Genomic DNA, 13,903 nt, shown 5'->3' on the forward strand with positions numbered 1-13,903 from the left:
CCGTTTCTCATAGTGTAGGCCTCTCCATAGGCTGCTCATAATTGACAGCTACCTTCCTGCAGAGTGAGTGATCCAAAAGAGAAAAAAAGAGGCAGAAAGCACAAGGTCTGTTATAATCTAGTCTCAAAAGTGACATGCCATCCCATAGACCAAAGATGATACAGCATGGGAGAGGAGTACACAAAGATGTGAATACCAAAAGGTTGGGATCTTTGGAGACAATTTCAGAAGCTGACTGCCACAGTCTCCTCTGGTCCTCAGTGACTCACATCCTTCTCACAGGAAAAATACACTTACCCTTTCCCCAGACTCTCAAAAGTTTGGAAAAAACTTATATTATCCCGTTATAGCTTCAACTCAAAAGACAGAATCATATTTAAATTAGGTCCTGGTATAGATGAGGCTCTTCAGGTATGTTCCTCACATACAATTCCTCAAGTATGGTTCCTCTCAATTTAAAAATCTATAGACTAAAGGGATAATTTATTTGTCCTTCAAATACCCAACATACAATGGTGGCACAGCCAGAGGAGTGCCCTATGATCAGGAACAAGTCAAAGATGTCCACTGTTATCACTTTTATTCAACATTGTATTTGAAGTTCCAGCTAAAGCAATTAGACAAGAAAAATAAATAAAACCCATCCAAACTGCAAAGGAAGAACTGGAATCCTTATACATTGCTGGTGGGAATGTAAAATAATGTGCTGCCGTGAAAAACAGTTCAGCAGTTCCTCAAAAACCTAGACATAGAGTTACCGTATGACCCAGAAATTCCACTCCTAGGTAAACCCAAGAAAAGTGAAAACATATGTTTACATAAAAAACTTGTATATGAATTTTCTTATAAGCAGTATTCATAATAGCCAAAAAGTGGAAACAAGTCAAACATCTATTAACTGCTGAATATATAAACAAACCATAGCATATCTTTACAGTGGACTATTGTTTAGTTAGAAAAATAAACGATGTACTTACATATGCTACAACACGGATGACCTTGAAGACATTATGTTAAGTGAAAGAAGCCAGGCCGGGTGTGGTGGCTCACACCTGTAATCCCAGCACTTTGGGAGGTCAAGGCAGATGGATCACCTGAGGTCAGGAGTTCTAGACCAGCCTGAATAATATAATGAAACCCCGTCTCTATTAAAAAAAGAAATACAAAAATTAGCTGGGCGTGGTGGCATGTGCCTGTAGTCCCAGCTACTCGGGAGACTGAGGCCGGAGAATCGCTTGAAACAGGGAGGTGGAGATTGCGGTGAGCCAAGATTGCGCCACTGCACTCCAGCCTGGTGACAGAGCGAGACTCCGTCTCAAAACAAAACAAAACAGGAATGTGAAGAATTCTCAGCCTGGCCATGTGGTAGAGAATGAAAGAATATTTTCAGGAAAGGGAACCAAGAGTGTGGCCAAGTAATTGATTGATAAGGAGATTAGTATGGATAGAACAAAGCCAGAGCTACTAATTAGGACAATGGGAGAATAACCTCAAAGGTACTTTGGAGATTACTGGCGTAGCCCCTCCCGTCATAGGCCCAGAGTGTCATGATCTGAGGGAAGGAAATCCTGCAAAAGAGAGCCTAGGGTGCGCTGAAGATCTTGGGGTTTACTTCCCAGGGCTGCCTCAAGTCTCTGCTTCCCACATTCTGATGCAGCACTCCTTGACCACCCCAGGTATGGTTTAAAGGGGTTCAGGTGTGGCTTTGGCTCCAGCTTCAGAAGGTGTAAGTGGCAGTATCCACATGATGTTATGTCTGCAGGTGTGCAGAATGCAAAAGCTGTGGGGGAATGGTTTCCTCCACCTGGATTTCAGTGAACATTAGGGACTACCTGGGAACACAGGCAGTAGACGGTTGCAGGGCTGGAGCCACCGTCGAGAGCCCCCACTAGGGCAATGGCTAGTAGAGCTATAAAGGTGGGTCCACCCCCAAGACACTAGAATTACAATGTGCAACACCAGCCTGGGATAGCTGCAGTCACCTGACTCCAACCCATATACCCAGCAAAGCCATAGGAGTGGGACTAGCTGAGGTCTTAGGGGCTCAACTCCCACCCCAGTGTACCCAGAAGGTGGGCATAAAGTCAAGGAGGATTATTCTTGGAGCTTTAAAATTTAATGTTGTTGGCCTGGCTCAGTGACACTCATTCCTATAATCCCAGCACTTTGGGAAGCAGAGGTGGGTGGATTGCTTGAGCCCAGGAGTTTGAGACTAGCCTGGGCCACATAGCACAAACTCCTAACCCTATTAAAAAAAAAAAATTGTTAGGCATAGTAGTGTGCATCTGCAGTTCTAGCTGCTCTGGAGGCCAAGGTGAGAGGATCACTTGTGCCTGGAAGGTTGAGGCTACAGTGAGCTGTGATCTAGCTACTGCACTCAGCCTGGGCAATAGAGTGAGAGCCTGTCTAAAAAAATTAAATCGATAACATTGTTTACCACATTGGCTTTAGGACTTTCTTGGGACCAGTTATCTCTTTCTCCTTGCTTATTTTTCCCTTTTGGAATGGGAATGTTGATGGTGATTGTGAATCCTAGGTTTTTGTCTTCTAGGTTAAAAGAATTTAAACAAGAGACACACAGCAATAAACAGCATGAAGCAATATATTGCAAAAGAATAAGTATATTCTGAAAGGTAGGTGCAAAAGCAATAATAGTACACTCTGAGAGCTGAGTCAGAGTAGGCTGCTCGAGAGTGAGACAGCATTGACTATTACAAGGGAAACTCTCTTTATGGAAGTCTTACATGATCATTCATAAGGGGGTGGGAAAAGACATTGCTATTGGGTTGGTGCAAAAGTAATTGCAGTTTTTGCTGTATTTTTAATGGCAGAACCACAATTACTTTTACATCAGCCTAATAGTAAGTATATTACAGGTGTTCTCTGGGTACACATGCTCAGTAGCTGTACATGCTTGCTTTGTTTTTGTTTTTGTTTTCGTTTTTGAGATGGAGTCTCACTCTGTCGCCCAGGCTGGAGTGCAGTGGGGCAATCTCAGCTCACTGCAACCTTCACCTCCCAGGTTCAAGCAGTTCTCTTGCCTCAGCTTCCCACATAGCCAGGATTACAAGTACGTGCCACCACACCTGGCTAATTTTTGTACTTTTGCTAGAGATGGGGTTTCACCATGTTGGCCAGGCTGGTCTCGAACTCCTGACCTCAAGTGATCCATCCACCTTGGCCTCCCAAAGTGCTGGGATTATAAGTGTAAGCCACTATGCCCAGCCATGTACATGTTTGTTTATATACTGTGGGTCCCATTCACATCTTAAATCTCCTCCCAGTGGTGTGTTTTTTACTATTATAATGAGCAATGAGTCAGTCTGCGGACAAGTAAAATTAAAATGTGCATACTGTCTACAGGATAAATTTCCTGGCCAGGCACAGTGGCTCATGCCTGTAATCTCAGCACTTTGGGAGGCTGAGGCGGGTGGATCACTGGGTCAGGAGTTCGAGACCAACATGGTGAAACTCCGTCTCTACTAAAGATACAAAAATTAGCTAGGCATGGTGGCGCATGCCTATAGTCCCAGCTACTCCGGAGGCTGAGGCAGGAGAATAGCTTGAACCTGGGAGCCAGAGGTTGCAGTGAGCCGGGATCATGCCATTGTACTCCAGCCTAAGCGACAGAGCGAGACTCCATCTCTAAAAAAAAGAAAAAAAGAAAAATTCCTACTGAGGATAGTTCTGTGCTTGATTATGAAGCCAGTAGTGAGTGCTCTTTGTTTGTTTGTTTTCCAGAGTGCCAGGGTTTTATCACAAATGGAGTTGACTGCTAGAGAGGCCCTTCTCCAATCTTTCTTCTGTACCCTCTTCTCTCCCAAAGACATCCCTCCAGGGGAAGTCAGTAGGCCATTAGAAAGGAGGAAATATGGAGAGTGAAAAGGGGCACTGCTTTTGTCAACATCCTCTGAAACAACCACTGAGTCCTTTGGGCTCCAGTTGAGAATCTTCTAGTGGAAGAGGTTTAGCTCTCATCTTCAAGGTCCTTCATTTCTATGTCCTGGGGGACTTTTGTCCTCTTTTGCATTTTGAGCTGTGGTTCGATAGTCCTGGCTGGCTTTGACGGGCTTCCACCTCCATGGCTGCCTTCTCCATCTGGGCAAGCCGGATCTGCCGGAGGAGTTTTCTAGGCTTCTTCCCCTACAGAGTAATGTTGGCACGTGCACTGGATGCCTGCTTCTTGAGGTGGTGCCGCGTGATCAGCGCTTGATCTATCACAGCTTCGACCACCCAGTGCCTCAGACGCTGCTTGCGGTTCAACACCGGCCTGCGCTGATCAGCTTTTTCTTCAGCTCGGTTCGGCGCCAGTTGATTTTTCCCCCCGGGATCCCCCACAGTTGCTCGGCGACGCCAATATGCGGTCCGTACTTCCGCCTGGGGTTTGTTGTATTGGTGTGGTTTTCACTTCCCGAGGACATGGTTGTGGGGCTTGCTGTTGTGGTGCAGTCGCTGAATCCCAAAGACATGGTTACTTCCCTGACTACCTATCTTGCCTCAGGAATGTCTATGCTATGCCTGTCCCACCACTGTATTTTGGAAGCACATAACGCTTGGAAGCACATAACTTGCTTGATTCCACAGGCTCATGCCTGAAGTAAATTGCCTCCTTGCCATCCTGCCTTGACTTTAGCCTATATCTTATTTAGATGAGACTCTGGGCTTTGGACTTTTGAGTTGATGCTGGAATGATTTAAGCCTTTTGGGGGCTATTAGATGAAATGCATGTATTTTGCAAGAAAGACATGAATTTTGGGGCCCAAGGGAACAAAAAGGCTATGGTTTGAATGTGTCCTCAAAAAAGCATGTGTGGGCTGAGCACCGTTGCTTACACCTGTAATCTCAACATTTTGGGAGGCCAAGGTGGGAGGATTGCTTTAGCCCAGGGGTTCAAGACCAGCCTGAGTAACATGGTGAGACTCTGTCTCTACCAAAAAAAAAAATCATAACAAAAACTTAGCTGGGCATGGTGGTGTACACCTGTAGTCCCAGCTACTGGGGAGGCTGAGGTGAGAGGATCAGTTGAGTCTGGGAGATTGAGGTTGCAGTGAACCATGATAGTACGACTGTACTGCAGCCTGGGTAACAGAGTGAGACCCTCTCTCAAAAATAAATTAATTAATTAAAAGCATTTGTTGGAAACTTAATTTCCAATCTAATAGTGTTGAAAGGTAGAACCTAATAGAAGATGTTTAGGCTATAAGGGCTCCACCACTTATAAGTGGATTAAGGTTGATTACAAAGGGGCTTCAGGCTGCAAGTTCAATCTCTTGCCCCCCCTTTTTTTTTTTTTTTTTTGGAGATGGAGTCTAGCTCTGTCACCCCCAGGCTGGAGTGCAATGGCACGATCTTGGCTCACTGAAACTTCCACCTCCCAGGCTCAAGCAATTCTCCTGCCTCAGCCTCTGGAGTAGCTGGGATTACAGGTGCATACCACCACACCCGGCTAATTTTTGTATTTTAGTAGAGACGGGGTTTCATCAGGTTGCCCAGGCTGGTCTTGAACTCCTGACCTCAGGTGATCCGCCTGCCTCGACCTCCCAAAGTGCTGGGATTACAGACGTGAGCCACCGCGCCCAGCCTTCTTGCATTTTCTTTGCCCTTTTGTCATAAAAGAGTGCAGCAAAAAAGGTCCCTGTCAAATGTCAGCCCCTTGATCTTGGACTTCTCAGCCTTCTGAACAGTGAGCCAATAAATTTCTGTTCATTATAAATTACCCCGTTTCAGATAATCTGTTATAGCAGCACAAAATCAAGTGAAAAACTTGGTGAATAACCCTATTAATGTCTTATTGAATTCAGTTTACTAGTATTTTGTTGAGGATTTTTGCATGTATGTTCACCAGAGATTTTGGCCTATAATTGTCTTTTTTTGTAATGTCCTTGACTGGCTTTGATTTCAGTAAAGTTGCAGGATACAAAATTAACATATTAAAATTAGTATCATTGCTATACACTAACAACAAACTATTCACAAAAGAAATCAAGAAAACAATCCTATTTGTGATAGCATTAATGAAAAACTTAGAAATACATTTAACCAAAAATAAAATTAACCAAATACATTCAGTGTATGAGAGATCCATACACTGAATATTATAAAACATTGATGAAATAAATTTAAGAGAAAAACAAATGAAAATATATACAGTATTCATGGATTGGAGGAATTAACATTGTTAAAATGTCCATATTACCCCAGTGATCTACAGATTCAGTGCAATCCCTGTCAAAAGTGAAATGACCTTTTCCCAGAAATAGAAAAGAACAACCCTAAAGTTTGTATAGGAAAACAAAAGACCTCAAATAGTCAAAGCAATTTTTAGGAAAACAAAGCTGGAGGCATCACAATACCTGACTTGAAAATGTACCAAAAACGTATAATAATCAAAACAGCCCATACTGTCATAAAAGCAGACATATAGACCAAAGAAATAGAAAACAGAGCCCACACATTTACAGTCAACTGATTTTCAGCAAAGCTGTCAAGGACATACAATAAGGAAAGGACATTCTCTTCAATATGTTGGGAAAATTAGATATCAACACCCAGAAGAATGAAATTAGACCCTTAATCTTGTCCCAAGTACACAAGTCAAATCATAATGGGTTAATGTCTTAAATATAAGATCTGAAACTATAAAACCATTAGGGGAAAACAGAGGGAAAGAGCTTCTTAACATTGGATTTGGCAAAAATTTTTTGGATACAACCCCAAAAACACATGCAACAAAAGCAATATTAGACTAATTGGATTGCACCAAACTAATGAGCTTCTGCACACCAAAGGCAACAATCAACAGAGTGAAGAGACTATCTATGGGATGGGGAGAAAATATTTGCAAACCACATATCTGATAAGGGGCCAATATCCAAAATATTTAAGAAACTCAAACAACTCAATAGCAAGAAAACAACCAGTTTAAAAAATGGGTAGGAACCTGAATAGATATTTCTCAAAAGAAGACATGTGAATGGCCAACAGGTATATGAAAAGATGTTCAACATCACTAATAATCAATCAGGGAAATGCAAATGAAAGCCACAATGAGATATCGTCTCACTAGAATAGTCTTTATCAAAAAAATAAAACATAACAAGTGTTAACAAAAATGTGGAGAAAAGGGAACCCTAGTACATTGTTGGTGGGAATGTAAATTAGCATAATTATTTTGGAAAACAGTATGGAGGTTCCCCCCAAAATTAAAAATAAAACTATTGTATGATTCAACAATTATCTTTCTCAGTATGTTACCAAAGGAAATGAAGAGATATTCCCTCCTCCATGTTCATTTCAGTATTATTCATAATAGTAAAGATATGGAGTCAACCTAAGTGTTTATCAACTGATAAATGGATAAAGAAAATGTGATATATATACATAGCATGATACTATTCAGCCTTATGAAAAGAAAGATATCTTGCCTTCCACATGGCAGTCTTGCAACAACATGGATGAATGTGGAAGACATCATCCTAAGTGAAATAAACCAGGCACAGAAAGACAAAAGACAAACTGAATGATCTCACTTTTATGTGAAATCAGAGTAGAATGGAGGTTACCAGGGACTAGGGTGGGTGATAGTGAGGTGGAAAATGGAGAAATATTGGTTAAAGGATAAAAAGCTTAGTTAGATAGGAGGAATAAGTTCTGGAGATCCACTGTGAAGCATGGAGGCAATAGTGAATAATAATGTATTGTATGTATATTTGAAGACTGCTAAGAACATAGATTTTTAAATGTTCTCACCACAAAAAAAAGATAAGTATGTGAGGTGATGGATATGTTAAATCATTCTACAGTGTGTGTGTGTGTGTACATATATCAAAGCATCATGTACCCCATAAATATATAGAATCATTTGTTAATTAAAAATAACTTCAAAATGACAAAAATAAAGATGTTTTCACATGTACATAGGCTGAAAAAAATCAAAGACCAGCATATCTGTATTATAAGAAAAATTAAAGGAAGTCCTTCAGGCACAAGGAAAGTTTTATCAGATAGAAATATATTTATTTCTACCCAAAGGAATGAAGATACCAGAAATGACAACTGTGTGGGCAAATACAAGTATAAGAAAACTTTCTCATTACATAAATATCTTAGATGATAAACAAAGAAACAAAAATAATGTAGTGTATGTATATATTTGTGTATATATATACACATATATATTGCACTAACATGTATGATAACAGCACAAAGCTTAGAGGGAAGAAATAGTATGGCAGTTTTATACTATATATAAAAGGGTACAATAATATTTGAAGCTAGACTCAAGTTAAAAAGAAATACTATAAATCCAGAGGTAATAGCTAAAATCACAAAATAGAATTATAGCTAATTAGCTAATAAACTAGATATAAAGGAACCATAAAAATAATCAAAAGATGGCAAAAAAGAGAAAAAAATGGAATAAAGAACAATTACCAAATAGAAAACAAATATCAAGAAAGTAGGTTTAAATCCAACCATATCAATAATCCCATCAAGTGAAAATTGTCTAATTATCTCAAAAGACAAACATTTTTGAAGTAGATTAAAAAAATAAATGAATACTTGACTATATGCTGTCTGTAAGAAACACACTACCATAGAAAACTACAAAAAAAGTTAAAAATGGATGAAAAAATATACTATGCCAATATTAATTTCAAAAAACAAAACAAAACTGGAGTGCTTATTTTAATATAAAACAATGTAGATTCCATAGAAAAGCCACATCCAGGGATAAAAAGGTCATTTAAAAATGATAAAGTGTTCATTTCACTAAGAGAACATAATAATCTTAAATATTTATGCAACTAATGACAGAGCTTCAAAATACAGACAGCCTCTGACTTACAAATTTTCAACTTTACAATGTGCAAAAGGGATACACATTCAGTATGCTTTTTGACTTATGAAGTTGTGCACAGATAAACACACTGTAAGTTCAAACAGTGGGTGTATCCAGACATAACCACATTGTTGAGGAGCATCTGTACTTAAAAGCAAAAACTGATAGAATTACAAGAAATAGACAAATCCACAATTACAGCTAGGGATCTGAATACTTCTCACTCAATAATAGCACAAATAGATAGACATCAGTAAGGATATAGAAGATATGGAGAGCACTATCAACCAAGTTGAACCAATTGATATTTATAGGTCATTTTACCAAAGAACAGCAAAACACACCATATTCCCTTCATAGAGCGTATTATAGGCCAAAAACAAATACTCAATAAATTTGTAAGAATTGAGTCACACAACTGTTTTCTCTGACCACCATGAAATTAGAAGTTAATAAAAAGATATATGGACAATTCCAGAATATTGGAAAAGTAAATAACAGACTTATACATAACCTACACATCAAAGAAGAAATCCAAAGGAAAATTATAGAACACTTACAAATGAATAAAAAGAAAAGGACAAAATATCAGATTTAGTGGTATGCCGCTAGAATAGAATTTGGAGGAAACTTTTAGGACTAAATATTTATATTAGGAAAGAATAAGGGTCTGAAATCAATGAACTCAACATTTACCTTAAGAATCCAGAAAAAGAATGTAGAAAAAGGGCAAATTAAAGTCCTTCAGGCACAAGGAAACAGAAGAAATAAAACAAAAAATCAATTATAAGGAAAAACAGGGAAAAATCTGAAACCAAAAATGAGTTATTTGAGATCCATCTAAGTGATAAACCTGTAGTCAGACTGATCAGTATAAGGGGAGAAAAGACAGAATTTATCAATATTGGAATGCAAGAGATGACATTAATACACATTCTATAAATATTAAAGATACTAGAATATTGTGATGACTTTATTCCAATAAATACAATAAATTAAATTAAAAATGCATTGAAATATACAAACTACTAAAGCTCACTCAAGAAGAAATAGATAACCTGAATAGCCCTTTATCTATTAAAAAACTGTATTTCAAACATCTTTTCACAAAGAAAATGACAGACTCAGATGGTTCCCTTGTACAATTCCAGCAATAGTAAGAGAAGAAATAATACCAATTCTACACAAACATCCAGAAAATTGAAAAGAAAAGAATATGTCCCAAAGACATTGTATGAAAGCTACAGACCAATATTCATCATAAATATAAATACAAATTCTTAACAAATATATATTTATACATATTTAAATATATAATAATGTTTAAAAAGGATAATACATTGTGATGAAGTGGCATTAACCCCAGGAATGCGAGATTGCTTTAACATTTGAAAATCAATCAGTGTAATTCATATTAACGAATCCAGAGAGAATAACCATATGGTCATATGAATTGATGGAGAAAAAAAGTTGACAAAATCCAACAGCCATTTCTGATAAAAATTCTCAACAAACTAGGAATAAAATGGAACATCATCTTGATAAGAGGATATGTGAAAAACCTACAGCTAACATCATTCTGAATGTTTTCCCCTAACATCTGGAACAAGGCAAGGGTATCTTCATCAACATTTTTTATTTCTATTTTACTGGAGGTTTTAGCCAGTACAAATTGGCAAGGAAGATAAATACAAACCATATAGATTGAAATGGAAGAAATAAAACTGTATTTATTTGTAGAAGACAAAAATCACCTACAGAGAACAAGTGATAGACTTTCAATTATAACTGAGGTTTGCAAGGTTGGAGAATACAAGATCAATATAAGAATAAATTGTATTTCAATACATTAGCAATAAATCATTGAAAATTGAAATTAAAATGCCATTTACAATAGCACAAAAAACAGGGATAAATCTGATGTAAAGTGCACAAGACATACAATGAAAAGATAAAACTTTGCTAAGAGAGATTTTGAAATATGGAAATCAGTGGAAGAACTCTATGTTAATGGATTGAAAAACTCAAGGTTGCTAAATGTCAGTTCTGTATAAATTGGTCTATAGATTCACTGTAATCCCACTGAGCCCACGCCCACCCGGAACTGGCCCTGGCCCACAAGCACCGCGCGCAGCCCCGGTCCCCACCCACGCCTCTCCCTCCACACCTCCCCGCAAGCTGAGGGAGCCGGCTCCGGCCTTGGCCAGCCCAGAAAGGGGCTCCCACAGTGCAGTGGCGGGCTGAAGGGCTCCTCAAGTGCCCCCACAGTGGGAGCCCAGGCAGAGGAGGCGCCAAGAGGGAGCGAGGGCTGTGAGGACTGCCAGCACACTGTCACCTCTCAATGCTATCCCTCCCCCAGTCCCCCAGCCCCAACAGGCCCTGGTGTGTGATGCCACCCCCTTCCCCTCATGTCCATGTGTTCTCATTGTTCAACTCCCACTTATGAGTGAGAACATGTGGTGTTTTGTTTTCTGTTCTTGTGTTAGTTTGCTGAGATTGATGGTTTCCAGCTTCATCCATGTCCCTGCAAAGAACATGAACTCATCCTTTTTTATGGCTGCGTAGTGTTCCATGGTGTATATGTGCCACATTTTCTTTATCCAGTCTATCATTGATGGGCATTTGGGTTGGTTCCAAGTCTTTGCTATTGTGAATAGTGCCACAGTAAACACACGTGTGCATGTGTCTTTATAGTAGAATGATTTATAACTCTCTGGGTATATACCCAGTAATGGGATTGTTGGGTCAGATGGTATTTCTGGTTCTAGTTCCTTGAGGTATCGCCACACTGTCTTCCACAATTGTTGAACTAGTTTACACTCCCACCAATAGTGTAAAAGCTTTTCTATTTCTCCACATCCTCTCCAGTACCTGTTGTTTCCTGACTTTTTAATGATCACCATTCTAACAGGCATGAGATGGTATTTCCTCGTGGCTTTGATTTGCATTTCTCTAATGACCGGTGATGATGAGCTTTTTTTCGTATGTTTGTTGGCTGCATAAATGTCTTCTTTTGAGAAATGTCTACTCATATCCTTCACCTACTTTTTGATGGGGTTTTTTTCTTGTAAATTTGTTTAAGTTCTTTGTAGATTCTGGATATTAGCGCTTTGTCGGATGGATAGATTGCAAAAATTTTCCCCCATTCTGTAGGTTGCATTTTCACTCTGATGATAGTTTCTTTTGCTGTGCAGAAGCTCTTTAGTTTAATTAGATCCCATTTGTCAATTTTGGCTTTTGTTGCCATTGCTTTTGGTGTTTTGTTCATGAAGTAATTGCCCATGCCTATGTCCTGAATGGTATTGCATAGGTTTTCTTCTAGAGTTTTTATGGTTTTAGGTCTTATGTTTAAGTCGTTAATCCATCTTGAGTTAATTTTTGTATAAGGTATAAGGAAGGGATCCAGTTTCAGCTTTCTACATGTGGCTACCCAGTTTTCCCAACATCATTTATTACATAGGAAATCCTTTCCTCATTGCTTGTTTTTGTCAGGTTTGTCAAAGATCAGATGGTTGTAGTTGTGTGGTGTTATTTCTGAGGCCTCTGTTCTGTTCCATTGGTCTATATATCTGTTTTGGTACCAGTACCATGCTTTTTGTTACTGTAGCCTTGTAGTATAGTTTGAAGTCAGGTAGCATGATGCTTTCAGTTTTGTTCTTTTTGCTTAGGATTGTCTTGGCTATGCGGGGTCTTTTTTGGTTCCATATGAAATTTAAAGCAGTTTTTTCCAATTCTGTAAGAAAGTCAATGGTAGCATGATGGGGACAGCATTGAATCTATAAATTACTTTGGGCAGTATGACCATTTTCACCATATTGATTCTTCCTATCCATGAGCATGGAATGTTTTTCCATTTGTTTGTGTCCTCTCTTATTTCCTTGAGCAGTGGTTTGTAGTTCTCCTTGAAAAGGTCCTTCACATCCCTTGTAAGCTGTATTCCTCGGTATTTTATTCTCTTTGTGGTAATTGTGAATGGGAGTTCACTTGTGATTTGGCTGTCTGTTATTGGTGTATAGGAATGCTTGTGATTTTTGCACATTGATTTTGTATCCTGAGACTTTGCTGAAGTTGCTTATCAGCTTAAGGAGATTTTGGGCTGAGACGACAGGGTTTCTAAATATACAATCATGTCATCTGCAAACAGAGACAATTTGACTTCCTCTTTTCCTAATTGAATATCCTTTATTTATTTTCTTGTCTGATTGCCCTGGCCAGAACTTCCAACACTATGTTGAATAGGAGTGGTGAGAGAGGGCATCCTTGTCTTGTGCCGGTTTTCAAAGGGAATGCTTCCAGTTTTTGCCCATTTGGTATGATATTGGCTATGGGATAGTCATAAATAGCTCTTATTATTTTGAGATATGTTCCATCAATACCTAATTTATTGAGAGTTTTTAGCATGAAGGGCTGTTGAATTTAGTTGAAGGCCTTTTCTGTATCTATTGAGATAATGATGTGGTTTTTGTCATTGGCTCTGTTTGTGATGGATTACGCTTATTCATTTGCATGTGTTGAACCAGCCTTGCATCCCAGGGATGAAGCCGACTTGATCATGGTGGATAGGCTTTTTGAGGTGCTGCTGGATTCAGTTTGCCAGTATCTTATTGAGGATTTTTGCATTGATGTTCATCAGGGATATTGGCCTGAAATTCTTTTTGTTGTCTCTCTGCCTGGTTTTGGTACCAGGATGATGCTGGCCTCGTAAAATGAGTTAGGGAGAATTCCCTCTTTTTCTATTGTTTGGAATAGTTTCAGAAGGAATGGTACCAGCTCTTCTTTGTACCTCTGGTAGAATTTCAGCTGTGAATCTGTCCCTTCCTGGACTTTTTTTGGTTGGTAGGCTATCAATTACTGCCTCAATTTCAAAACTTGTTATTGGTCTATTCAGGGATTCGACTTCTTCTTGGTTTAGTCTTGGGAGGGAGTGTATGTCCAGGAATTTATCCATTTCTTCTAGATTTTCTAGTTTATTTGTGTAGAGGTGTTTATTCTCTGATGGTAGTTTGCATTTCTGTGGGATCGGTGGTGATATCCCCTTTATCATTTTTTATTGCGTCTATT

General features: G+C 39.0%; 1 pseudogene; it reads right to left on the bottom strand.

The window, feature by feature from the left end:
- Positions 1-3,967: 3,967 nt before the first annotated feature.
- Positions 3,968-4,469, bottom strand: C11orf98P2 (C11orf98 pseudogene 2; annotated as a pseudogene).
- Positions 4,470-13,903: the final 9,434 nt, after the last annotated feature.

This window comes from Homo sapiens, chromosome 6, assembly GCF_000001405.40.
Source record: "Homo sapiens chromosome 6, GRCh38.p14 Primary Assembly".
NCBI lineage: Eukaryota > Metazoa > Chordata > Mammalia > Primates > Hominidae > Homo > Homo sapiens.